The following is a 25,229-nucleotide window of genomic DNA, read 5'->3' as shown; positions in this document are numbered from 1 at the left end:
TGGGCAGCTGCAGACCGAGGAACAGAGGGGCAGTGACTTGACCCGGGCTCCAGGTAGCCTGCAGGTAAACTGGCACTAAGTGCTAGACTGTAAACCCCACAAGGGCAGGGCTCTTGGTTTTGTTCTCTGATGTGTCTCAATATCTAGCACATAATAGGCACTCAATAAATACTTGTTGATTTCAAAAAAATAAATAAATAAATATCTGTTGAAGTCTCTACTTTCAGTTATTTTTGTTTATATACTCAGAAGTCGGACTGCTAGATCATATGATAATTCTGTTTAATTTTTTATGGAACCACCATACTTCAACATGAATATTTTTACAGGATTAATGCAGCAAAGCTTAAATGCAAGTAATCATTATCCTCACTGCTGGTTTTAGTAAAATAATTAAAACAATTCACACACACTGTTTAATAACTTATTCGCAGCCAGGCATGGTGGCTCACGCCTATAAAATCCTAGCACTTTGAGAGGCTGAGGTGGGTGGATTGCCTGAGCTCAGGAGTTCAAGACCACCCTAGGCAACATGGTGAAACCCCGTCTCTACTAAAATACAAAAAAAAAAAAAAATTAACCGGGCATGGCAGCTTGCGCCTGCAATACCAGCTACTTGGGAGGCTGAGACAGGAGAATCACTTGAACCCAGGAGGCAGAGGTTGCAATGAGCCGAGATCGCGCCATTGCACTCCAGCCTAGGTGACAGAGCAAGAGACTCCGTCTCAAAAACTAAATAAATAAATAATAAATTTAAAAAATAACTTATTTGGTGGAGTAAATATCTTGCAAAAGTTCCGTTGTTTCCAGTCCTGGATATCTGTAGCCATATGTGCTCTTCTCTTTCTCTCTGGAAGCTGTCCATTGATTTTTCTTGGTGATTTATGCCCTCTGATTCTTAATTATTAACTATATTTTGATGGCAAAAATCCAAAAGCAGAAGAATTATCTACTGTGAAATTTGTTCATCAAAATTTGGGTTCGCATTTTCCTTTGCCTGTACTTTTTACTTATTTCCTCATACAAGTCAGAAATAAATGACAGTTATGATCATGGTCTGTTAACTTTTGATTTTGGTAGTTTATTTTGCAGTATTTTTCCATCTACATTTGTAAGGAAACAACTTACTTAAATGGTTGGAGGTCTTTTTTCCTCCTTTGATTATAGTACTGTCAATTGTGTTTTCATTTGGTTTTATGAGTCTTTTAATATAAAAATACAAACATTGTCCATTATAAAAAAGATTTTTCAAAATCCTTCCAGATCAAAAGCCTAGCCCAAGTATTCAATGTCCATTACAGTTATGCATTAGTGAGAAATAACTTTTGACCTCAAAGTTTTTATAGGAATCAAATGCCAGACAAGCTGTTTTGTATGTCTCATTAATAGCAAAACTGTGGTTTGCTTTATAATGTCAGTGGGATTTATAATGTCAGAGAGATGAGGTGACAAAGGATTAAAATAAAATTCAGTGAAACTTTTTCCCTAACATTTTATTTATGCATAAAACTGAAACCCAGTAATGACCCATATTTCTGTATTTACCTAATTCTGAAAATATAGCATTGCATGTTGTGAAAGTATAATCAAATTAGGAATAATATTCTTATCTGGGGCCATGACGGTATATTCCTCCAAATTTGAAATCTGCTTAAGTTTCTCAGCTGCGTAGCCTTAAATCAACTCAGATCTTTAATTGTGTGAGTTCATTTATTCTGAACCAAATGTAATTTCCCTTTTAGGGAGGGATTGCCTTTAAAAGGTTCATTAATAAAATCCTAATGAGGTATCTTGGATGTTGTAGAATACTGGTGTCATTTTTATGAGTTTAGAACAAAAGGATACAAAATATACAGATAAGATTACCTATCAAATACATGAAGGCAAAATGTTCCTGACAAAGTCAGAACATTATAAAATAGTTGAAAATGTTTCCAGTGCCTTCAAAAAACACCAAAGCAATTATTGCTGATACCTTATGAATCAAAGGTCTTGTTTTTTCATCATGAACTGAATTCAGCCGGCACACTTTTGGACAAAGAAATTGGCACTCCTTGTTGGATTGAGAACCTAGATGACCTTATGCCTCTAACGTAGAGGATATAAATGGTCTATTTGTGCAACTATGCAAATATGCAAATACAATGAATGCCAATTTATAAAATGAAAGGGCTAGTTGAATAAATGTAAATATAAAAACAGTAACAGGGACTCAAGGTCTGTAATAAATTAAGGCTGAGACTAAAATAGAAATCAGATTGTGGATAAATAATCATTGTAATAATAGCAGAACTTGAGCCCAACAACAGTAAAATTTTACATAAGGCTATTAGTTGGCATCAAATGGAGGATCAGTGATAATGGGAAGCATAAGAAGGGTATACAAATTTTAGAGGCTGTTAAAATTGTCAAAGGTCAAAATAGTTTTTTAAATGTAGTGACAAATCCATTCCCTAGCTAGGCTCACACATCGTCTTGTGCCCATTGCACAGTTTCAAATTAGCATTTTACTATGCTCTGACATCTGAAATACTAATAGACAAAAATTAGAATAATTGATCTGCAAAGAATCTCAAGAAATTATACCTGGTCTGCCCCCCAAACAGGAGGACACCTAAGCCATTTAAGATAAAATATGAATTCTCTAATTTGTAAATCTTCAGGAAAATTGCTGCTGCTTTTCTTTCTGCTGGTACATTTATCTGTCTGGCTTTGTGACCTCTGAGTTCAGAACATAAAGTATAACCTTGTTTAAATTAAATCTTCCTCTTTTCTTTATTGGGTCCTCAAAACTGCTGAGTTGATTTTAATATTAAAACAAATAAACAAAAATCCTACACCTAGCTTGTAACTCTGCATGACAAATTCCAGCCCAGGTGTTTTATGATCCAGTGAGAAGTTCTTGAAAAATGAGAAGAAAGAGAGGTTGAATTGTAACATGGATACATTTTGGACTGGATGCCAGCCACTTGAATAAGGTATGAGCGTTTAAGCCTAAAAACTGACTGTATTTTCCTTTTCTTATTTGAACATGCAAAACCTTTTATTTTCATAATCAAGGCCAAATGTATTTCATACTTTGGACTTAAACCAAAACTCAAAAGGAGGATGAAAGAGCATTACCCATGCAAGCAATAGATTTGAGGCCAGTTTTAATTGAAAAGAAAAATCCCACCATCTAGTCATTTTTAGAGCATGAGTTGCATTCACCACACAAATCCTTCATTATTCATACATGGCAGTATGTATTTAATGATTAAGTCTCTAAGGATTTATTTGATAGAATAATCTCCTAAATTTCTTTTTTTAAAGGGCAAATGAAATGTGGTTTTTAATTCTTTAAAGAACAAGTTACAAAGCGTGTAAAAATAAAACACAGGCTCTTAGTTTTTAAAACTATATCTACAATTTGCCTACCCATTGGTTTGTTTATCTGGCTATCAGTAACATACAGACTTGATCTACTAATGGCTAATTATGCAATTGTTTATCAGCTCATTTGAAACATTTTGAGATTCAGTCTAGCTCAGCAAATTACTGTGCTTAAGGCAGTTCTACATTCTAGAAAATTATAATATCCCCAGAAGGCAAAGAATTAATAATAAAAATCCTCTTTTGTAAAAGATTATCATTGCAGAGCAAATGGAGCAGATCTTCCCTATCCTACTGCATTTAATATTCTCATTTTTCCCCTGAAACTTTGATGGAGAGGCAATGAGAATATCTCTGTTTTATTAACTTATTAAGAGGCACATTTATAGAACTCGTGCACTGTATTGATTCCTAAAGCTGCACTGCTGCTAAGAGCCAATAATCACAGCAGAGCAGGATGATTCCATTTGTTATCCCAGAATGTTTCTGATACTCAGTAGAGCCCAAATTTTCACCCAATTCAGAAAGCCCAGTTTTTTCACTTCTCTCAGCCTCAATTTATTCATATGTAAAATAGGCGTAATAAAACAAAAGGCGGCCTCTGGATGTTGTGAGAATGAGATAATGCAGTCAATACACCTAATACAACGCCTGTAGATATTAAATACTGTTAGTTTTTGTCATTATTATGGTTATCATCATCATTACCTCTTGTGGTTCAGGAATCAAATAAAGATGCATGCATTTAAGTAGCCATTTGCCTATGTAGTTATGTAACTTCTCAGTATAAATGTTTTCATGTCAGCTGAAAGTTTAAAATGAACTTACTGTAAGCCCCAGCACTATTTAGCCCAAAACTGCCTTTCCAAGCTAATATCAAATCAGCCAGAATAGGTGGGCTACTAGTATGCAACTGGGATAAATTGCCTAGACCCTGGTTTGGAATTATCCAACCTCATAGCAGCTGGGCTTGATAACATGATATTTTAAAGGCACTTGGTGCCTCTTCTACTGAACTGTGTCAAAGAGTTTTGAACTTTTTCTTCATGACTCAGATTTTGTAGTGGATTTTACCACCTTCATTAGCACTACATTGGATCATCATATTTTAAGAAGAAAAAAAGTCTTTAAAAACTACCCAGATGCCTTACCTAGAACATATGAGACTATTTGCTTTATGGCATTATTTGCATAGAGTATATGTATCATTTCATTTATCTGTCAACCAGGACTACTTTTTCACTTCCTAGTAAGATTTGGTGTGCTACCATTAGCTTATAAATATGGCCGGGTGTGGTGGCTCACGCCTGTAATCCCAGCACTTTGGGAGGCTGAGGTGGGTGGATCATTTGAAGTCAGGAGTTCGAGACCAGCCTGGCCAAAATGGTGTAACCCCATCTCTACTAAAAATACAAAAATTATCTGGAGGTGCTCGCTTGAACGCAGGAGGCACAGGTTGCAGTGAGCCGAGATCGTGACACCTGGGCGGCAGAGCGAGACTGTGTCTCAAATAAATAAATACATAAATACGGCTGAAGCCCTGTGTTTTTATTTTAAACATACTGCATCTTCTGTATATTCAAGGAGTGCGGTTAGTAAGTGCTACTTAGAAGCCAGCCCTAGCGCTAAACTTTGGGGGTAATGGTGGCCCAACTTCCCCTTGCAATTCGTGGCTTCTAAATATCTCTGCCTCTCTTGATTCAGTAAAACAACTAATGTTGCAAGGCATTTCAACTTGGTGAGCAACAAAAGGCTATGATGTTTTCTTTGCCCCCAAAATGTGAAAAGCAAACTATCTAATCAGTAGGGACTAACTCTATCAGTTAGTTTCTTTATTGCACTTCATACCCATTGCCTGACTTTTTCCTATTTCAAAATTTGCCATCAGTTTTTCCTGAATTTGAAAACTCCTAAGAATAGGCTCTTCTTTATTGTTCTCCAAATTTTCCTAGGGCAAATAAAATCCATTACAGGGGGTTACATATGTAGAAGAGTAAAATGGGATCAGAAAAATTAAAATTTCATGTAAGGCTCAGAAGCCAACAGCTGTACAAGTTGAGACCTGCTGGAAAGCAGTGACTCTGAAATAAATTCTTACTCTGTAGACGAATAGGACTTCAGCATGCTACAGGATAATGTTTTGAGCTCCTTCCAACACTAGAAACTGTTTGAATGGGTTATTTTTACTCTACTTATTATAGAGGTGGTTTAGAAAAAGCTAACCTGCAAGGGGCAAAGTGTCTTTCACCAAAGGTTGCCAGAATCTCAATCAAACCCATTACCATGGGCCGTGAAAGCACCACCTTTTCATCACTACCATCACAGCTGTGGTCGTGCTGTTGTTATTGTTGAATCTCTCTGTTCAGCTTTTTATAATTATCATAATTCACCCTAATGTTATGTGATTAGCAGCCTCTGTTGTGGTGAGAATTACACACCACTCACATAGCGTCTGTGACCTTTCACCCCTTGTGGAGTCGGCCAGGGCTGCATTGGCTGGGAGACAAAGTGCAGAAACCCACAGAGCACCACCTGCACTCTCTCAGGCTGGGGGATAAATGGAAAATTTTACCTTCCAACTGTATGTGTTGCTCTCCAGGCAGCCATATTATGAAAGTTCGATTCCTCCACCTCCCTATAAAAACTAATTTATTCTCATCCTAGGAAGATTTTTAAAGGATTTTGTAAAGTATTGCTTTACAGCATTGATACAGAAGGCAAAGTGACTCTGTTAATACAAAGATAAGAGTTCTTTAATTTTATTTGCAACATCATTAGATTAATTGTATGTTGGACATTCAAAGAAGAGATTTGGGGAATTTGATGCCTCTTTGTTTTAGACTGAAGTCAGTACACATGTGATGAGACCACTGAGTGAGAACAGTTGGCAAGAATGTACAAATAACTAGCCATCCTCTTTATCTAATGAAATACGTTTTCTTCCATGCTAGTGTCCTAAGCTTTGTGGAACATTGTTAATCATAAACACTATCGGAATCTGTTATTTAATTTCACAGACCTTTCAGATCATAGCAGCAATTGGTCAGAATTAGAAAATAATTTTCATGCAACTAATGTAAGATGAAAAGTAGTAAAGAGGGGATTTAAAAAATATATGATAAAATAGGCATTTATAGAATATTGCTATGTACCACTTCTATACTTTCGACAAGATTGACAGTATGTAGCATGATGAGTTAAATTTTCTTTAGCACAGTACAAAATCTCTGCATTTTTTCTAATTACCACTTCCTACAAGTCAGCGCAAAGAGGAATAGGCTCACTTGGTTCAGCTCAATTTCCACAGCTTGACAGGCATTGATATCAAAATTAATTCTAAGATGAAACTTCATAAAAGAAAATCCTATTTGACAAAAAGAACTATTGGGCTTGAATCACAGTTGCATTTGCATTGTGAAATCCCTTTTTTATTGTATAGGAAATAATGCCTAAGGAGAGATTGAATATCCAGAGAGAGTTCATTTGAGGCATCCTGATAGTATCTGCCATATGCAAGTAAAGCAGAAGACGTTTTTATGACATCTTCAGAACTTGAAGATTGAATTACAGTTTTAGTAATCATCAGTTCCCCTTCTCCACTGTCACTTTTTGGTAATATATTGCATAGAAAAGACTTATAGTACCGGTTTTATAAGCTTGCAATAAAAATATAACAACTGTTGTATTAAATTATTTAAGTTGTAAACCATTGTGAAAAAGGAGAAAAAGTTTTATCGACATGGAGGCTGAAAAACTGATTATGATGGAGAGCAAAATGTATTGTACTGATTACTCCCAAGTTTTTCCCTGGTTTAGCATATTGTAAATCTTCAGGGTATCTTTCAAATCAAGGTCTGGGTATGAGAAGTTCTTTTATTTATTGATAATTTAGAACTGGCCGGTGGCAAGAAAAAAAATGGTACCTGTGTGTTTCCAGGTTACCAATTTATTTTAGAAGAGTTATAAATGCAAATAAACTAAGTAAAAAAGAGGTAATATAGACTCAAGTAAATGTTTCTTTTTGATGAAAAGAAACCTAGTAAATATGAAATAACTACATTTACCCAGGGAAATTTAGACTCTAGAGATCGTCTAATGTTTCTAGAAATATTTTTTTCTTACCTTATATTGGTTTTATGGGCACTTATTACCTCTACTATTTAGCAGACTACCATTCTGCTACTGTGTGCAAAGATTCTAGGCTAAGATGTTTTCTCCTCTCCAGGCGTCCTCCATATTCACTCCATTGGAAAGTCTACCCTTCCAATGTCAGACTTCTTCAAGAACTTTCTGTTAATCAGTGCCTCCTTTCCCTTGTGTTTCTAGCCCACACTGGGAATCTAGGTGCATTCTCTGGCTTGCTCAGAATGTCAGCATCCCATATTTATGCACTCACACTCTTCCTCAGTGCCCCCAGGATTGCTGGACACTGAAACATGGTTCATATCAGGCTCTACCCACCTCCCTCCTACACACACACACCTTGGCCACCCAGAAGAAAGAAGGAATTTCCTTGACTAAATAATCAGATTTTATTTCTCTAAAGGAAATTAGAATAGGGAAGACACGTATTTCTACGTGGTAAATCGAATCACCCAGGGGATGCACAATAACTGGGGGTTAGTCCATTCTTTAGCATGATCCAAGACAATAAATCAGGCACTCTTACTTGATGCTGTAAATGATTTCTCCCTCTCACCGAGGCTCAACAGCAGCAAGCTGGACATATTCTCACTTTGATGGCAGTGATATTACTAATAATGTAACTTATAGGTGTCAAGAACTGTATGTTATTTAATCCTCGCAACATCCAAATAAAATAAGCATTATTCTGATTTTACAGATGAAGAGATTTAATTCTTGTTCAAAATCACATAACTAAAAAGTATTAAAAATCAGAATTCAAATTAAGCACAGGGCACTTGAGGGCTTACCAACTCTACTACACTGATAATGTAATGATTCCATCTCTAAGTCACCATCACCAAAAGGAAAGAATAGGATAAGAAAGAAGTATGGAACATGTCATGTTCCTCTCTGGATTCTCCCATGCATTCATTTGTCACACATTTCTTGAGTGCAGGTAATATATCAGATTCTATCCTTGTTCTGTAAAGATAAATAATTTATAGTCACTGCCTTTATTATTCATTGGGAAGGAAAACCGGTGAATGATTGAAGTTCACTATGATGATGTAATTGAAATGTATACAAGGTGCTATGAGGACACTGGAAAAATTTAAATTCCAAAGAATTCAGTGTTTTTACTTAGTGATGGCCTTCTCTAGGACAACAGTAAATCCCCTAAGGGTGAATCCAGCAGCTCTTTGTCCTCAGCTAAGACATTCTATGAATGTAACTGTCTGCCTCCCGCTCCCTGGACTGAGAAGGAAGCCACTTAGCTAGGTCAACTCCACTCATTTACCTGAAACCAAAGGAGCTTCCTCCTTCTTCCCACACCTCTAGCTTTATGGCCAGGAGCACTCAAGTCAGTTTGGAGCAATTTGGGTCAACAATTTGGAATTGGAAGATAATTATCTTGGGCTACTTCCCTGACATCTGGAATCCAGGAAGGCAAATTTCTTGGTTTAATTAGATCCCCCACACCTTCCTTTCTGATCCCACAGCAAAGATACTTGAAATTAAGTAGCCACAGATGTATGGATAACTAGTACCAAAGCCACCAATTCCTGTGGGCATGACCTCTATCACTGAGACATTCTGCCAAGCTGGCTTCATTGTATGGACATGGCCCAGTAGTCAAGAACTATACTGTCTTCTACACAACATCCAAAGATCACCATGACCCCCCACTGAGAATAGATCAGAAAACACTACATGCTTTTCATTCTTTTTCTTGAGATAGAGCCTCACTCTGTCACCCAGGCTGGATTGTAGTGGTGTGATCTCAACTCACTGCAGCCTCTGCATCCTGGGTTCAAGTGATTATCCTGCCTCAGCCTCCAGGGTAGCTGGGATTGCAGGTGCCCCCCAGAATGCCTGGCTAATTTTTGTAGATTTTTAGTAGAGTCAGGGTTTCTCCATGTTGGCCAGGCTGATCTTGAACTCCTGACCTCAACTGATCTGCCCACCTTGGCCTCCCAAAGTTCTGGGATTACAGGCATAAGCCACTGTGCCCGGCCCCCATTCTCTCTTTTTTTTTTTTGAGACGGAGTCTCTCTGTCACCCAGGCTGGAGTGTAATGGCACGATCTCGGCTCACTGCAACCTCCACCTCCCGGGTTCAAGCGATTCTGCTGCCTCAGCCTCCCAAGTAGCTGGGACTACAGGCACCCGCCACCACGCCCAGCTAATTTTTGAATTTTTAGTAGAGATGGCATTTCACCATGTTGGCCAGGATGGTCTCAATCTCTTGACCTCATGATCTGCCCGCCTCGGCCTTTCATGCTTTGTATGAATAAGAATCATGAACTTGCATTCACAGTACAACAGTCACTATAGGCACAAGTCACTAAGTTGAGCTTCCTAGATGTACAGTTTCATAGAAGAACCATATGTTTAAAATACCTTAGTAAAGAAAACGTAGCAAAACTTTTTTTTTTTGAGTCGGAGTTTTGCTCTTGTTGCCCAGGCTGGAGTGCAATGGCGTGATCTCGGCACACCACAACCTCCGCCTCCTGGGTTCAAGTGATTCTCCTGCGTCAGCCTCCTGAGTAGCTGGGATTACAGGCATGTGCCACCATGCCCGGCTAATTTTGTATTTTTAGTAGAGACGGGGTTTCTCCATGTTGGTCAGGCTGGTCATGAACTCCCAACCTCAGGTGATCCGCCCACCTCGGCCTCCCAAAGTGCTGGGATTACAGGCGTGAGCCACCGCACCCAGCCAAGGTAGCAAAACTTAATACATGATCCAACATGGCTAGAACCTCCTTTCTTTAATTCAGGGTAACCGGGTTTTTTTTCTTTCCTAACTAGGAGAATGGCTAATATCATTATAGTAAAAGCCTATTCATTATTCTACAAAGACAGGAAAAGAACAGGTTGTTTGGTCCTTGACAACAAAAATCTATGGGGCTGGAACTAGAAAACTCTTGAAAACCAGGTTGCCTGACTCACCTTGAATAAACAAGGCTACTAAGGGCTTTTACAGGTTGAAGGCTGAAGGGAAGAGAATCTTCAGAGGGTTTCTTTGACCTAGAGTGATGAAATATGTGGCCACAGAGCAGGGCATATGTACTACCCTGATCTGCCCCATAGATCTACCCAATAGATCATTATGGATGCCCAGGTGGGGTTAAAAGCCTCCTAAAGACTGAGCAAGTGAAGGACAATCATCTAACCCAGGAACTGCCAGGGACAGTATTTTCTTTAGGGAAGCCTGGCAAAGACCTGGGCCTGAAGTTTTTATGTAGTGATAAAAGATTAGAACCTTATAACCTACACTTTAGGGAAGACCTGAAAGGCAAACAAAGAAAGGAGTTGCACACACATATATTGTCTAGAAAATAAATATTTCTACAGTTTATTCTAGAAAAGAAAGAATATACAATAGCTTGGTCTATCAGAGATCAGCTGGTTTCAACTGCAGGAAAATGTCATGCAGAGATAAATATTTTATAACTAGATACGGCAGGCCTTGAAGATAGCAACTGCTATTGCTTACCATAGGAGATTATAAATATGGGCATAGCTATGAATAATAAGATTGGTGACAATGCAATAATTTTTCACCTTACATATACCCTCAGACAGTAGGTGCTAATGTCTTTTAATATAAGGGACAATGAATCTATGCAGGAGACTTAGTTGAAAGTGCTGGTTGGTTTCACACCAGCTGTCAAATAGGCCTTTCAAAACTCCTTTATGCATTGGAAACAGTGACCTGGGGGTGAGAGGCTCCTAGCCCAGAAACTGATCCCTTGAGCCATAGAGATCTCAATCCCGGACGATTGTGATTAATCCATGCTGACAAACCAGATTTGGATCAATAGAAATTATCTGTAACAAGAAACTAATTGTGTATTTAGTAAATTCATGGAAATTTTTGGTGACTTTAAATTTATACGGAAAAGACCCTATTGACTTTTGAAATCAAAATTCATACCACTTTAGGGTAATATTGCCTTGGGTTATAATAAATTATGGTCGTCCACCTTCTCTCTTGGGTAATATATGGTCTGAAGGCATCTAATCTGTTTCCTCTTAAACTATGAATATTCTTTAATTATTATTTAGAGAGACTTTAAATCTCTATTTACATAATATAGAAAAGCACAGAACATGTACCTCTTATACTATTTTCATACGCCATTCCTGTTTAAATGAAGCAGCAAATACAGCCAATTTCAAACCATGTTACAATCTCAGTTCAAATTATGCAGTGGCTTAGAATAGTAAAAAGATGTCCCTAAAGTTGCATCCTCTTCAGGGTATCAGAGACCTCAGGTGTTAGAGAGCTGCTGAGAGGAGAAGTGGATGAACCAATGAACCAGTGTTGAATTTATATTGTACTTTTCACACAGGAAGATTCTCTAGGCCTTCAGTACACCTACATGTGAATCCATGTGTGACGACGTCTAACTCTTTTCACTTAATTTCCTTATGGACCATTTTTCTGGAATGGAAGATGGAAAATTTCAGCCAGCCACAAATGGACTGAGACTCACCAATCTCATTTCACATTGAGCAGGTGTCCCAGACAGGGTTTGAAACCAAGCTACAAAGATTTTTTTTAAAAAAAAAGAAAAAGAAAGAAAATACTATTAGAACTAAACAGATGGCCCTGCATAGGAGCTTATGTAGTCAGCTTCAACTGGGTTTGTCTTAGTATCCAGGAGTAAGCCCTGCCTCATAATTCTTTGCAATTTAGTATTATTAAAATCCTCTTTTTTGCAGAAACTGCTAACATATCTAATAGAAGGACCTCACTAATCATTTCACTCTCAAGGAGGGAAAAAGTCTAAAGGCCAGGGCTTGAGGTCACAGGTCTATGAGGGAATGCTACAACGCCTGTATTTTATCAAATACAGGAACTATAAGAAGCCTTCACCTCTGAACCAGGTTGCTCTTTTTCTGGCTCCAAACAGAACTGTTCAAGCCATTCTCTGCCTTAAATGGGTAAAAACCCCTTTCAATATTCACTAGAATCCTCTAGCATGCCTGCATTACTTGTATTTAAGATTTTAAGCAGACTATTAGTGTTTGTTCTGAATAGTTGTACCACTGTGCCAAGCACATGTAGGGCAATAGGTGAAAGGGTAAAGAGCCCTTGTTTGATAGAATTTACATGCTGTGTGAGTCTAAATTGTTTAGCTGCCTGATAGAAGTTTTATAAAGCCTAAATATCCATAAGCTTAACAGATATGCAGGAGAACTAAAAAACTGCTTGTTTTATTTCTTCAAAGGTCATGCTTTTTTCCCATGACATAACAGTAAATAGCATGACAAAATGCCTTCAATATATCATAAATTTATGGAAAATAACCATTGACTTCTCAGGATAGTTTAGGATATAAATACTTTGGGATTGATATTGTAGATGCTCTTCAAGTATGAGCAAGAAATATTGCCAAACTCATAATTGTTCAAATAAATCATGAATGTGATATAAATTAAAAATTAGAATGGTATTAGCCACACACAGGGAAAAAAATAGTTCTAGAACAGTGCACTTTACTCATAAAATATATTGGGTTGAAATTGTACAAATCTGAAAACCATTGAGAGCAGACCTAGATGTAACTGAAAGTCTGTTTAATGTTGTTCTCTGATTGTCTCCATGTTATAAGTTCCCTGGCTCAGTGGAACCATCTTATAGATTAAAGTAATTCCTGAGCCCGCTAGTGTGTTTACTAACTATCCTAATGTCACTTAAAAGAAACAACAAAGCAGAAGCAACCTTAAAAAGATATAACACCAATGTTGTAGTCCCTCTTCCAGAATATTTAGCTATTCTTCAATCTATACTACAGCCCTGACACGTCACAAAGCTCCATTCCTGTGTGTTATCTAGATGTAACATATCTCCAGTTGAATTTTCCTCCCTACTTCAAACCTTATAAACCAGAGGTCAGCAATGTATGTCCCACAGCCAATGCTAGTCAGCCACCTGTTTTTGTAAATAAGGTTTTACTGAAACTCAGCTACACATATTCATTTACATATTGTCTGTGGCTTCTTTTGCCTTACGACAGAGTCGAGTAGTAGCAACAAAGATATGTTGGCTCACAAAGTCAAAAATATTTGCTACGTGACCATCTTCAGAAAAAAAAAATTGTCGACCCATTATAAACAAAAAAACTCAGGATCTCTTCCAAAAAATGTGCCTCTTCTCCATTCCTACTACAACTTTAATTTGGGGGATTTATCATGATATGTTCATATTACTGCGTGGCCTCCACTCTAGTTATATGCTGCCGCATAATAGAATACCCCAAAACTTAGTGAATTTAAACAACAACCGTTGTATTATAACTCATCATTTTTTGGATGAGAAATTTGGGCAAGGCTCAGCTGAATGATTCATTAACAACAGTCAGTCATTGGAATTCATCTGGTAGCTGGGCCTGTCTTGAGGGTTTAAGGCAGCTTTACTCACATGTCTGGTGCCTTGGTGAGCAACAGCTGGACAACTGGATTCACCTGAGCCCTTTTGCCTGCCCCATATTCTCTGGGCTTCTCCAGATGATCTTTTTCTGCAGGATGGTTAGACTTCTCATATGGCAATTCAGGACTCCAAGATACCAAAATGGAATCTCCCAGTCCTCTTAAAGCCTGCTGGCACAGTGTCACTTCTTCCATGGACCATCTGAGATTCATGGGGAAAGGAAATACACCCCACCTTTCAAGGGGAGGAATTTCAAGGAGCTTGTGGCCATCTTTAATCTGTTACTACCTCCTAACTGGTCACCCTGCCTCAAATCTTTTTTCATACTCTGGCCATATATTCCCAAAATCTCAATTTCATTCTATCTTCCCCCTTCTCAAAAACCTAAGATGGCTTCCTCTAGCCTATTTGGTTTAAATTCCTCTCCCTGACATTCATAACTCATTATATAAAAGGGTCCTACTATAATAATCTTACCTAATTTTGCATTAGTCTCTGTTTGTTAATCATTAGTCTGTTTGTCTTACATAGTCCTCGCCTTCCCCTACTCTGTTCTGTATCACAGGGAAGCTGACCCCTGCAGGATGTTTTTCCTAGGCTCCTTGTCAACTTCAGACTGGGCCTGGCAAATAGGAGACATTGGTGGGAGATTAGGGGGTGGCAGAAGTCAAGTTATTTCTCCTTCTCTCTGCTTCATGCAGATCTCTGGAAATGATTGCATTTTTATACCTCCTGTGCTCCAGATCCAACTGGTTAAGCCTTCTCTAGTTCCATCATCCTCTGAGTGACCCTGGTTTCTGAGCTCCAGAAACTCTGTATTCTCCCTTGTCATTCCAACCAAAGCATTGCTGACAGCTTCCTGAAGTTGCTCATCTCTAAATTGCTATACTGTCTCCTGTTCATCATCCCAGGCTTTGATCACCTTTAAAGTAAATTCCCTGTATTAAATTCCTTCTATTTAAACTAAACTCAAGTAGTTTCTGTTCTGATTAGATCCCAGCTGTTCTCAACACAAAGTATCCACTCCAGGCTGGGCAATTTTGTACCTGGCCCTTCAGCCCCTATGTGCCTGTTATGGTATTTCTGGCCTGGACCTCTGGCCTCATTCTTCAAAGCCCAGCTCAAGCTTCATCTTCCTCAAAATGCCTTTCAGCATCACTCCAGTTTTTACTCACCTGACCCTATCATTCCTTGGTGACTTTCAATGTGTCTGTTTTCCCAGTTTGTAAGTTCATTGAGGAAGCTTGTACTTGAATCCTATTCCCCACAGTTCCCACCACAGTGCCAATGCACACAAAGCACTCAATAAATATTGCTTATTTGCTTCAATATAATATCTTTTAGGTCTGACTAATTTCTATGAGACATCAGGGCTAAAATCATCTGTACTCCTGAATGGAGTGAATTTAGGGATGCTTTTTTGGGTTAGTGATACTCTTAAGTTTTTCCCATCCTGGATGAACATGTTATAATAGACAGGGAGAGACTATTTTTGTTTTGCGGTGGCAGGTAGTGGCTGTTAGGCACACAGTATAATTCAATGTCCTATATGAAGTAGATATCAAATATGAAATGAAAAGAAAAAGCCTACACCATAACTGATGGATTTGTGTGGAAAAGCCAATGAAAAAAATATTTAAATATGACAGTCTTTTTGATACTTTTATAAAGTACCATTAATTCTGGAATTAAAGAACAAATATGATCTACATATATTTAAATAAGATCATAATAAAGGAAAATGCCACAGAAAATAAATATAAATTAATAAATCTAAAATCCAGTCTTTCATGTCTCACATTTCTTATGCCCTAGATCCATATTTTATTCTTTTTCCCCTGATAACAAGTGCTGGAAACATCAGAGATTCAATAAACATTTTAATTGTTTGAAAATATCTAACAGATGATGTTCCTGCCATCTAGTCGCAAAATTGTCTTAAGGGATTATTTTATGCAAAATTGTTCAATTTGGGGGTTTTGTTTTGCAAAATAAAATACTAATAAGAAAGTTTGCTACAGTATTTACTGTTTTCAAGCCAAAAAAACATGTTTATTTGGGACCAGAACATGGTCCAGTTTGAGTTCTTAAGATCTGCTATAACTAACTAACTCAGCTTCTAGTATTTCAAGATGACATCAGAAGAAGCTCTGCCTTTTTTTGCAAAAAAAAAAAAAAATGTAAAATGGCTGGCTAATTTTGAAAATGAATTTCTTCTCTGCTGCTCTTCTCAACCACAGAGACAGTCATTTGAATGCTTTACAGAAAAGGCCTCAAGCCTCCTCAGATGTCACCTTTTCATTGCACTGCTGATCATTTAGAGGGCAGACGTGTTCCAGACAGCTTTAATTAAACTGTACTGAGGATGCAGATAGATGTCAATGGAAATGATCCGTAACATGTATTTAACAGTGTTCCATCCAGTTCAATCACCTTCTAGCATTTCAGTGGATTTACATTCATGTAGCAAAGACTGAATGTGTATATGTATTTTTTAAAAATCTATCTCATTAGTGGCCATATGCTTCAGCTTCAATGGATACAAGAACTGTCTGCAATCTGCCAGGGATTTAGCAGCATCAATAATTTGTGAATAGTCATGTTGGTACTGGTCGAAGGGTTAAGTGCTCTGCACTCCAGGGGCATCTCTTTTGGGATTTGAACCCTTAGTTGACTGTTAGGAACCTTATCCCCTGTGAGGTTTCCTACTACATGCTGCTTGTCAGATGCATCCAGCTGTAGCTGGGAAGCATTATTAGGTCTGGGATTTAAAGATCCGTGTTAAGTACTGATAGAATGGTGTCTTTGACTTAAAAAGCAGGGAGAGTATACTGTGGCAAACTCAAGGAGGTTTTCATGTTCCATGTTAAGTATGCGTCCTTTCCTTTTGCCTATTCTTTCATACACTCCTTGTGAAAAGATTCCACAGCATCCTTTTGAGAAACAGTTTATATTTAACATTTCTTCCTAGAACTTCCTAGTAAATTAGATTGCATCAGCCAAAGTTCAAACATAAACGTCACCTTAAAATAAGAGAAGGTGCCGGGTGCAGTGGCTCACGCCTGTAATCCTAGTACTTTGGGAGGCCAGGGCAGGCAGATGACTTGAGGTCAGTGGTTTGAGACCAGCCTGGCCAACATGGTGAAACCCCATCTCTACTAAAAATACAAAAAAATTAGCCAGGCCTGGTGGCGGACATCTGTAATCCCAGCTACTTGGGAGGCTGAGGCAGGAGAACCGCTTGACCTTGGGAGGCAGAGGTTGCAGTGAGCCGAGATCGTGCCATTGCACTCCAGCCTGGGTGACAGAGCAAGGCTCCATCTCAAAAAATAAAAATGAAAAATAATAAGAGAAGTTTTGATATGAAAAGCATTGCTTCTCATTCCCCTACCCAGAGAGTGAAGAACAGGTAACATGAATGATTTTTGAAGTTTAACTTATGATACTAGTCTTGAATTAAGATTTCTCAAATGTAGTTGTTTTAATACCAACAGCAACAAAGGTCATATAAAAGCTTTTACAGCATGTGCTAGCCTGTTACTTCATGTACGCATAACCCTTGTCTGTCTTGTTCACTCTTAGAGGCTTTGCACTTGTCACAGTGCCTGGCAGATAGTACTTAATGAATGTTGGATGGATGGGTGGATGGCAGAAAGAGACAAAGGGAAAAAGAGAAAGAATGAAGGAAAGAAAGAAGAAAACACTTGGAAAAAACAGTTTAGTTGATCTGATCTGCATGCAAGTATTTGCTCTCAGTAATATTTTCTAGAAGCTGTTCTAAGAGGATCTGGGGGTGGATGTTTAGCATAAAACATGTTTCAACAGTTTTAATGGATATAGATTTCTGAGACAACTTACATTATTATGACCTGTTAGTAGTAGTAGCACTTAGTTCACTTGTTGAGTAAAGGATGGGAACAATTATGTTGTGATGACAGATTTCCATTAGGTTTTTTTTTTTCTGCCACATATCTAGACGTGACTTAGTTTTAATGTACCTGAATACTCCCATAGTAAAGTGTATTGTGATTTCATCAAGGAGGGCAATAATTATTAAGCAGAGGAATCTTTAGTCTTTCTCTCTTTGAATATCTAACTGATCTTAAAAATAAAGTGGCTTGTCTATTTGCAGTTGATTTTCTACATGTGTTTGTTTCCAGTAATTCCCGCCTTCTTACCCCGGAGTAGTTTAACCCATCTCTTAATTGTCCCTAGCTGATGTCTAGAAGGTCTTTTTAAACTTCTTAACTGCACAATGAGCCCTCAGTGGACACCTTGATTGTGTTTGTTTGGGAAAATGCCAAGCACTAATGAGTATTTTGTTTAATGTAATGGAAACTGAAAGTACATGGCTTCTTCCCTGACTGATCAATGCCCACTTCTGTTGTTTGAATGTATCTATACATTCTAAATTCAAAAAAGAAGTGTCACAAGAGGGCAGAGCACTTAGTGTCTGCCCAAGGAAGGACTTGAAGATTCAGAAGTTTTGTTTATTTGGGCCCGGTATAGACAGACAGTACTGGAGTTAGTACTCTAGGGCCTCCTCCTCTGTGCTCAGATATGCAATTTTTATTAAACCCAAAGTCCATAATCTTAAACTTTTTCATGTTAATTTAACAAAATAATAAGGGAATGAATTATGTTGTTGAATTCTAAGCCAGGCAGTATCTACTTCTAAGAAGTTACCCATTTTTATTTCATCATTATTTTTTATAAAATATTTGGTATATATTATATTTACCTTATTGTTTGCTTTTTCTGAAGTTCAAATCACAATGTGTCCAACATAAAATTTTCAGTAAATAATTAAAGCATTATTTCTTAGTTAAATAAACAGTAGTATTTGCAGAAAAATGAAATCTTAAGCAACTGAGTAGGCAAGCATGATCAAGTATGTTTGAGTGAAGAGTAACGATCTCCATATGGTGCTAACATTCTACACAGGGACTAAGTGGAAAGTGTAGAAGATGTTTCATTGAACCATATCTAGCTGAATTGATACAGAGCTCCTTTCGGTAGTATTTATAATTTATAGACTTCTTTTTTTTATTTTTTTTGAGACAGAGTTTCACTCTTGTTGCCCAGGCTGGAGTGCAATGGCGCGATCTCAGCTCACTGCAACCTTTACCTCCTGGGTTCAAGACATTCTCCTGCCTCAGCTTCCTGAGTAGCTGGAATTACAGGCATCCACCACAATGCCTGGCTATTTTTTGTATTTTTAGTAGAGACAGGGTTTCACCATGTTGGCCAGGCTGGTCTCGAACTCCTGACCTCAGGTGATCCACCCACCTCGGCCTCCCAGAGTGCTGGGATTACAGGCGTGAGCCACCATGCCTGGCCTATAGACTTCTTGTATGTGCTAGATAATTTTCACAAGAAAAGATTTCCAACCATTTAAAATTTTAAATGAGATTTACCTTTCATCCAAAATTTCCTGGGTTTGGTGATTTCATTAAAGATCTACGGAGATGGTAAGAAAAGAAAGGTTTTGAATCTAAAAAATGGAAATAATTTAATTCCTCAAATTCAAATTTAATGACTCGCTTTCTCTTTATTTCCAAGCCACCATCTTGCTTGATCACACAATCACTTTCCTTTGGAGACTGGAAATATGCAAGCCTCCCCAAATTACAGTTTATAATGGAAAGCTCCCCTGACCCTTAATAATTGTTACTTTGCTGAAACACTGTAATACCTAAACTAAGTTGCTTATTACACCAAACATGAAGTCCTTTGACCCTTAGAGTTCAATATTGATTAGCCCCACTTTTGTCAATATCACCTCTAATGTCAACAGTTCAATGTGAAATAAATTCAGTAAAGGATAGTCTTCTTAATCCACACACATTAAAAATGTTTAATTCCTATTCATTACAAATTTCACCCAGTTCAAGAATTGTTTCTTCCATATTCTTAGTTAATAATTGGAGACTGGGCAACATTGTGAGTATGTGGTTAAATGTCATTACAATAAGAGGTTAGCTGTAAGTTAACCTATACCAAGGACCGGATTCATGAAAAGTCATCTCTGATAAAATTACTCCAAAGGAAACTTGAAGCAAATGTATTACAAATTCATCAAACGTGGCTGAGATATTTTTTAATCCTGAGATCATGGAGGGAAATGCTTTTAAAAAGAATATTCAAGTGCTTGCTTTGCCCTTGGATAATGCAATAGAAGCTTGTGGTATTTTTCAGATTGTCAAATGTGTATCAAAGAGTTATTCTCTTGGCAAATTCCATGAATTTCAGTTCCATTTCTTGACAATTTAAAATTTGATTATCCAATTATAACTAAAGATCATTAGTCTAATGTGGCAACTTCATGACAGTTTTAGTTACAAGAGAAGTTCTCAGTTTAGAGAGGAAACTGCCATATGAGAAATTTTTATTGAACTTGTAAGTTGAACAGTATTGTGGAAAGAATTTTGTTTTCTTCTTGTGGTTTTATTATTTATTAATAAAAAATATATACTTTTTCCCCTGCCCCATGTTTATAAGGTGCCATATCATATGCCTCACCTCTCTGATTGACATCATCAAATTAACAGCAAGTGCCCTCTGATATTGCTGATTTTTGTCATCATTAGATTTTGTCTTAAATGTTTATTTAGAGTTCCATTTCTTTGTTTTATTTTTAATAACCATAACCTGAATATCATTTTCAGAACTAGAGAAAGGCATTTTCATTTCAATCATATTATAAGTAGAATTTCTGCTAAAATGAAAAACCAGAAAAATTGAGGACATGGCAAATATTTTAACATTAGTTTTATTTGATGTGATAATGGAAAATTCCTCAAGCAAAACATACCACAGGACCAGACAAAATGGGTGCTGAGTGTCAGAAAGATAGGAGAATCTTTATCCACATCTCACCCCCAAAGAAATCAACTTTGCAGTGGTAGATGAGTTTGTGGAACAGCTGTTGATTGTGTACCTGCTCTGTTCAAGATCAACAGTGAAAACTTATTGTTTTTCGATTTTGGAATCTTAAGAGTTGCAGACACTGCTGGAAGCACAGATGGACAAGATGGCATCTGCGCTGCTTCTGGTATCTGTGACCCATTTACCCAGAGGAGAAATTATCCATGCAGCATGCTGGTTTAACATTTCGATCAACAAACAACAACTCCACCACCCAGCTTGAGGAGTGAGATCTTCACTCTAACTGTTCTCAGCACAGTCTCCTGGTGCAAAGCTGGACTAAGAATTTTAACATTACACTTTGCACCTCTTTTATTCAATGGTAAGACCCAAAATAAACCTTTCTGCCTAGGTATGAACATCTCTTTTGCTTCAAAGGTTCGAAAGTATTCTCTGTCAACACAAACTCCCTGACCTCCATGCTTAGAGCTGCGTAAAAGTTAACTTCTTCTGAGCCACTTGTTGAAACTTGTAAATGAACTGACTTTTCTGCAGTTGTGACTTATCAATTACATCAGCATTATCATTTCTTGCCCACTGGCAGAGGAGTTATAGTTGTAGATGGGAGTCTTATCGGGCATTCGGTATGACTTCCTTGTCAACTCACTTCATTCCATGTGGAAAGAGACAGGTGTACACTAGAGCTTTCAAAATCTATTTAGAGACCCAGCATCTAGCAGAAAATAATTTTTTTCTATACAGCACTTTGTTGTTTTTACCCACTATTGTGCTATGCATGCATTGTAGCGCATTACCTTACTTAATCTTCTTGGTAATTCTCTAAGGTACAAGGAGATTAAAACTGACTTGGGCAAGGACATTACAAACTGGAGAGCCAGGACTTGAACCTCGGTAATCTGACACCAAAGTTCTTATTCCTAACCACTTCATTTATACTGATACTCTAAGAATTTCCTTTCTATAACTAAAATTATGTATTAAATTTTTTACATTTATTAGAAGAATAAATTCTAAAAATATAAAAACTAACTCTTGGCCAATATGGAAGCATTTTATTAGTGTACTGAAGATAGAATTTGAGATCAGAGGCGGGGTACATTTACTTCTAATTTACGAGTTGGTACATGGGAGCAGAAAATGTGGTAATAAGAGTTTTTCTGCCTTTTTAGACATTCAGCCCATTTTTTCACCAGATTATTGGTGAGATGCATGTTCTGTAGTGTTACAGCTTACCCACCATAGTCAAAATGTTCTGTAGAGCTATTTAAGTAGATGTGATGAGGGTTTGTTTTAAGTAAAGGGTGAATGTGACTTTCATTATTCTCTGTGATATATAAACATGAATTAATAAAGGTTTCTCTTGAAACTTGTTCAAGAATTGGCATGCATTTCCAATTAATCTCATAACTTATATTTAACTGTTTGGCTGTGCTCCATAATTGATGGATGTTATTTTAATTCAGATACAGAGAGGGAGAGAATGCCCAGACTAGACAACAGGGTATATGTCAACTTTTAGACACATTTTACTCTCCCAATTAATCTATGTTTTGGGCCCATCACACTTTGGCTCACAAGACCTCTGTAAATGACCATTATTGTCAGTTCTTAACAAATTGCTAAAATGACTTTTCCTAAAAGATCCATCATATTGGTGACAAACCTTGCACAGGGTAGGACATCCAGGTTACTGATTAGCTTTCAAGAATGGACTCAATGGAAAATCAGTTAAATCTTCAGAAAAGATGGACTTAAAGGAGCATTTGGCTGATGGAACCCAGTAGGCTGGGAGAGACAGCACTTGAAGTCTGGGTAAAGGTATGAAGATGAAAGTGAGAAAAACAGATAAAATCAGAAAGTAAAGAACTATTGAGAGAATAAAACATATATATACTTTTCTTCTTCATTGTCTATAAGGTAAAGTCCAGGTCCCTTCACACAGCATTCGAGGCCCTTCACAAATTGATGCCGACCATTTCTCAACCTTATCCCCTAGCACTGTCCCCTCTGTTTCATGTCCTGCTGGCACAGTGTGTGCTCTTCCCAGGAACACGGCACACTCATGTAATAGTGCCGCTGAACTTGCTTTCTCCTCTGCCTTCACTTGATTGACTTAGAAAAGTCTTCATTTCTGAACCTTAAATGTTACTTTCTTTTTATGAAAACTTTGCAAACTCCTTCTTCCCCACCTCCACTCATCACACCCAACAAGAAGTAATTGCCTTTCCCCCACTCCCCAAGCTTCTTTCAGCATCTTCCTTATCATGTTGACATTTGCTAGGGGTCAAAATGCATACTTTACTCTTCTTGGTACTACCAAGCACCTAGCATTCAATCTGTTTTTACTCAACTACGTTCCTTTTTAACATCCAGGTCACTTTCCACTCCCTAGCTCCTTCATGATATGTCTTCCTCCCTCACTCTTATTTTTAGAATAATAACATTATTCCAGTGCAACACAATCACATAATAATAAAGATAACTAACATTTGTATAATAATACTTTATAAATTACCAATATTTTCAAATCTGTATTAGTTTTCTAGGGCTGCCACGACAAAATACCACAAATGGGGTGCCTTAAACAATAGAAATTTATTTTCCCACAGTTCTGGAGGGTGGACGTCCAAGATCAAGGTGCTGGCAGGTTTGGTTTCTTCTGAGGCCTCTCTCCTTGGCTTGTAGATGGTTTCCTCTCATTGTGTCCTCACATGGTCACTCCTCAGTGTGTGGACTGTGTCCTGATCTCCTCTTCTTATAAGGATATCAATCATATTGTATTAAGGTCTACTCATATGACCTTATTTTATCTTAGTTACCTCTTTAAAGGTGCTATCTCCAAGTACAGTCACATTCTGAGGTACTGAGAGTCAGGACTTCAGCATGTGCATTTGGGACAGGGGTTGTGGGGAAAAGACACAATTCAGCCCGTGAGTATCCATTATCTCATTTATCCTCATAAGCAATAACTGCAGCCACTCTGTGCCCGTGCACTATTTTCATGGTGAACTTCTTCAAAAGACGGCTCTTCTGCACCTAACTTTACTTCTTCAGGCCTTCATGATCTAGACCTCAAGTCTATTTATTTTGGAAAGGGGCTTTGTTCCTTAATGAGTGAATACAACAGTGCATCAAAATTCTAGAGTTTCTTACAGAGTTTAAATTGTCAAGAGCTGAGCCTCATTGTCAGTAGAAGAAGAAGAAGAAAGTGCTCCTTCCCTAGCACTGAGAAAACAGGAAAACTAAATTCGTAAGCAAAACTTGTTTTTTGCAGTCATTCAAAGCCTAAGTAAGGCATTTAAAGGTGCATATGTTGGGCATTTCAACTGGAAAAATGCTAGCCTAGTTAAGAATGGAAACGGGTACCTACTGCCTTGTACGTCTGCCTATTTTCTGACCCCAGGGCCCGCAAAGCACCCATTGATGTGAATGGCTCCTTTCATATGAAAAAAACAGTGAGGCTGGTCTCGAACTCCCAACCTCAGATGAACTGCCTGCCTTGGCCTCCCAAAGTGCTAGGATTACAGGCATGAGCAACCGCGCCTGGCCTTTCAAAAGGATCTTAATCCCAGGCCAATGTGGGGAGCACTGTATATACTACAGTATGACTGAGAGTTGTTTTAGAGCCCTGCAAAGTTCCCTTGTTAGCATTTTAGTCAGGGGTATGAAGACACTGTGCACTGCAAGACTCAACCCATTTCTGATCCCTTTCTCATGAATCACTCTGATACTATACCCAGAAAAAGCCATCACATGCCATCTAATGCATTTCAGGACTGCATCTGAGCTGCAAGCGGAAGACACAGTAGATGTGACATTGACTGTGAACTGCACATGAAGCAAGTGCAACCTCAGGCCTGCCTTGCTTCAGAAGGTGGGTAGCTATGTCTTGCCCTCTTTACAAGTTGAAAAGTGGGGAAACAATGCAATGGCTTGATCATAAGGTCACTTTCTCTCCAATCGAGAATTATTTCCCTTCCTTTTATAAAGTGGGAAAATGTAAAATCCTCCTGATGGGTAGAGTGATTTTTGAAATGTTTTTGGAAGGTAGAGGCTGCTGATTCTGTGCTTCCCTTTTTTCTCTAGGAATCTCCCTCTTCTCCTTTTCACTTCCTTCGACTTTTGATAGAAACAGTTTATATTAATATGGTGATGCCACTTATGTGTATAAATAAATGCAAACAGCTATTAAATGTTCAGAAAGTAGCATCAACATCTTTTTACACAACTTGTGCTAGTGAGTGTTTTTTCGTCATAATTTCCAAGTCCTGCTGCCAAAGAGCATTTCCCAGAGATCTTTGTAGTAGTGTATGCATCCAGCACATGATTGCGAGAAACCCACAACTGAGGAAGAGATCTTTAAGATTTGAAATTTGAAGAATTTTTGCCACTAAGTGACAGAC

At 37.9% G+C, this 25,229-nt stretch overlaps 1 long non-coding RNA gene across 1 annotated transcript in view; it reads left to right on the top strand.

Moving 5' to 3' along the window:
• The first annotated feature begins 4,869 nt into the window (after positions 1 to 4,869).
• LOC105370765 (uncharacterized) overlaps positions 4,870 to 25,229 on the top strand; it is a 36,546-nt gene continuing 16,186 nt past the window's right edge. The window contains exon 1 of the long non-coding RNA XR_932103.4: positions 4,870 to 24,700. This is a non-coding gene — a long non-coding RNA (uncharacterized LOC105370765). The remainder of the gene's footprint in view (positions 24,701 to 25,229) is intronic.

This window comes from Homo sapiens, chromosome 15 (assembly GCF_000001405.40).
Source record: "Homo sapiens chromosome 15, GRCh38.p14 Primary Assembly".
NCBI lineage: Eukaryota > Metazoa > Chordata > Mammalia > Primates > Hominidae > Homo > Homo sapiens.
This window is presented reverse-complemented; position numbering and strand designations above follow the sequence as displayed.